Here is a 4,004-nt window from a genome sequence, read left to right as displayed (position 1 = left end):
GAAGCTCCGCCCTTCCGCCTAGCTGGACGCTAGGTTCCACCCACCCCACCGCCTACCGCCCAGACCTCCTCCCCACGGAGGCCTAGGCATCAGCCCCCTCCCTCATCCTTTCCAGAGTTTGGGACGGGATGTCTTCAGTTGCCACGGCCACAGTATGGCTTCCCCTACAGTTAGGCTACAGTTGGGGTTGTAAGTCCAAACCCAGCCTTTTTCCATAGATATTTGGCCTTCCCTGAGCCCTTTCACATAGTCGACATTTAGAGTCTTTACTGTATATGGACCTGGGGTCTGGAAAGAAAACAATACAAAACCCCAACACTGACACTAACTGTACTATTTCACCCCAGTCATGTCACTTCTTGACCTCAGAATGATCTGTGAAGAATTTGAGATTCCTCCTGGCTCTAATTAAGATTCTGTCAACCCGACTACCTCCACCCGCACCCCACCCCAAGCCAGGTCTTACAGAATGAGGTCCATCCATTCTCTTCCATCTTCACCAGCTGTCTTCTTTATCTACCCTTTCCATAGAAATATTCTAAGTGACAAATGAAAATCTAGGCAATGGGGGCAAGGTATAGGGTAACACCTTGGGAAAGGAGGGTGAGGAGAGAGATACAAAAAGGGGGACTTTTATAGACTACACTTTCTCATCAACTACCACCTTTCTCATCAACTACCAACTACCACCAACTGTTGTTTTTAGATCCAAATGGTAGCAAGAGATGAAAGGCCAGAACCTCACTGCAACTGGAGCTTCACTCCCTGGGCTAGATCACTTCTCCACATTCACTTCTTGAGTCCCCAGCCAAGGACAAACAAACAGGTTCCTCAGCAAGCTTGTTGCCACAGGAGATGGGCTTTATCGTTAATGTTGCTAGTTGATATTTTCATTTCTGGATTCCTTTGAAGAGCACTCAGGAAATCAGAATGACCTGGGCCCCAGCTGATAAATAAGTGTGTAAATAACCCAGATAATTACTTTTTTGATTGTCTGGGCATTGTTGGTTTTCGGGGGTTGAGACAGGGTCTCACTTTGTCACCCAGGCTGGAGTGTAGTGGTGTGTGATCTCAGCTCACTGCAGCCTCAACCTCCTGGGCTCAAGTGATCTTCCCACCTCAGCCCCCCAGGTAGCTGGGACTACAGGTGTGTGCCACCACACCCAATATTTTTTGTATTTTTAGTAGAGACGGGGTTTTGCCATGTTGGCCAGGCTGGTGTTGAACTCCGAGCTCAAGTGATCCACTCACCTGAGCCTCCCAAAGTGCTGGGATTACAGGTGTGAACCACCACGCCCAGGCTTAGGCATTGTTTAGGAAGGCATTGTTATGAGATCAGCCTGACCAACATGGTGAAACCCTGTCTCTACTAAAAATACAAAACAGCCGGGCTTGGTGGCCCACAGCTGTAATCCCAGCTACTCGGGAGGCTGGGGCAGGAGAATGGCTTGAACCTGGGAGGCAGAGATTGCAGTGAGCCAAGATCATGCTACCGCACTGCAGCCTGGGCAACAGAGCGAGCCTGTCTCAAAAAATACAACTAACTAACTAAATAAATAAATAAAATTAGTATTTGAGGGAGTTGATTTGGCTTAATGTGTTATCTCAAAACAATTTATGGCTCTCTTGTTCACAACCACCCCCACTCCCTTTAGGCAGACCTCTCAGCCTTTCCTTTCCCTGAGCGGGAGATACGGCTCAATCTCTCTTCTATAATAGCATTAAACAGAAAAACAGTCAAAATTCTGGCTGGCAGTAAGGGAGGAGACCACCCCTCATATTGTCTTATGCCAATTTCTGCCTACAAAGAAGTAAAAACTAAAAGGCAGAAATGAAATCCACGGGCAGACAGCCCAGCACCGCGCCCCGGGCCTGGTAGTTAAAGATCGACCCCTGACCTAATCGGTTATCTATAGATTACAGACATTGTATAGAAAAGCACTGTGAAAATCCCTATCCTGTTTTGTTCCGATCTAATTACTGGTGCATGCAGCCCCCCGTCACGTACCCGCTGCTTGCTCAATCAATCACGACTCTGTCACGCGCACCCCCTTAGAGTTGTGAGCCCTTAAAAGGGACAGGAATTGCTCACTCGGGGAGCTCAGCTCTTGAGACAGGAGTCTTACCGACACTCCCGGCCGAATAAACTGCTTCCTTCTGTAACTCGGTGTCTGAGGGGTTTTGTCTGCAGCTTGTCCTGCTACAGCAGAATATGCTTCAAGTGGTCATAGCACAGAAAAGAGCCCAGGCATTTTGCTTTCACTGATTTCATACTTAGCACCTATTGCAGGCTCCATGGCAGACACCAGAATCTGAAGCCAGAGAGGAGAATCTTACAGCTTCCTGATGCTAATACCTTTGGCAAGGCAAATCCTGGCTAAATATTTCAGAGTAAAACCACATAGGATGTGCAGTAATGTAGGCGAATCCAAGTTTCACCACTTAGGCAAGCTGCTCAATTTCCCCTGGCCTCATCTATAAAATGGGGACAATAATTCATGCACTGCAAAGTTGTTAGGGTTAGATAATGTAAGTGCTTAAAACAGTACATATACTTTAAAAATAGTATATTTTAGGTGTACGTATATGTATCTTATTCTATGTACATATGTGTACGTATGTACCTTTTTTTTTTTTTTTTGAGATGGAGTCTCTCTGTAACCCAGGCTGGAGTGCAGTGGCACCATCTCAGCTCACCGTAACCTCCGCCTCCCGGGTTCAAGTGATTCTCCTGCCTCAGCCTCCCAAGTAGCTGGGATTACAAGCGCCCACAACCACGCCTGGCTAATTGTTTTTCTTTTTTCTTTTTTTTTTTTTGAGACCGGGTCTCACTCTGTTGCCCAGGCTGGAGTGCAGTGGCGTGATCTCGGTTCACTGCAACCTCTGCCTCCCGGGTTCAAGCAATTCTCCTGCCCCAGCCTCCCCAAGTAGCTGGATTACAGGCACTCGCCACTAAGCCCAGCTAATTTTTGTATATTTAGTAGAGACAGGGTTTCACCATGTTGGTCAGGCTGGTCTTGAACTCCTGAACTTGTGATCCACCCATCTCAGCCTCCCAAAGTGCTGGGATGCCAGGCATGAGCTACCATGCCCAGCCTTTTTTTGTGTATTTTTAGTAGAGATGGGGTTTCACCATGTTGGCCAGCTGGTCTCCCTCCTGACCTCAGGCGATCTGCCCACCTTGGCCTCCCAAAGTGCTGGGATTATAGGCATGAGTCACCCACCTGGACTATACATACCATTTATATATTATACATACACACACATATACCTATCCCGAACATCAGCAAGGTGTGGATTCTGTCTTCAACTTGCTTCCAAAAACTGAGGTGTTTGGCCAGGCACAGAGGCTCCTCCCCTCTCACTATTCAGCACACACCTGCTCACAGTTTACTACAAACCAAGCACCTAGCCAGACTATTTCCCAAAATCACTGCTCTCATTCAATGGCCTGCTAAGCTAAGTTCCTTACCACAATCTTCCCACATAAAGGTGACCTCTGCTTTGGGGGATACAGAATTTAAGCATCACAAAAATCTGTATGGGATAAGAAAAGCACGTTGGCTAAAAGATAGCTAATGAGGACTCTAGTCCTAACTCTGCTATCAAACTACATATGCACTTGGCCAAGTCACTTAATTTCCTAGACTAGCCTGGGGCTGAACAAGAGAAAAAATCATTAGTAAAAAAATCCTAAGGCCAGGCACGGTGGCCCACACCTGTAATCCCAGCACTTTGGGAGGCCAAGACAGGTGGATCACTTGAGGGCAGGAGTTCGAGACCAGCCTGGCCAACATGGTGAAACTCCATCTCTACTAAAAATACAAAAATTAGCTGGGCGTGGTGGTGCACACCTGCAATCTCAGCTACTCGAGAGGCTAAGACAGGAGAATTCCTTGAACCTGGGAGGTGGAGGTTGCAGCGACCAAGATTGTGCCACTGTACTCCAGCCTGGGCGATACAGCGAGACTCCATCTCAAAAAAGAAAAAAGAAAAAAAAAAAA

General features: G+C 47.3%; 1 annotated feature.

Moving 5' to 3' along the window:
- Positions 393–581: a silencer, noted in NCBI's record as "fragment chr6:43612192-43612380 (GRCh37/hg19 assembly coordinates)". NCBI's record gives its function as "represses an EF-1alpha promoter that drives an FKBP-Casp9 reporter gene in an ReSE screen in HepG2 liver carcinoma cells {active_cell/tissue: HepG2}" and the evidence as "EXISTENCE:reporter gene assay evidence [ECO:0000049][PMID:32094911]".

This window comes from Homo sapiens, chromosome 6 (assembly GCF_000001405.40).
Source record: "Homo sapiens chromosome 6, GRCh38.p14 Primary Assembly".
Lineage (NCBI taxonomy): Eukaryota > Metazoa > Chordata > Mammalia > Primates > Hominidae > Homo > Homo sapiens.
Note: the sequence above shows the minus strand (reverse complement) of the source record. Positions and strands in the feature narration are given on the sequence as shown.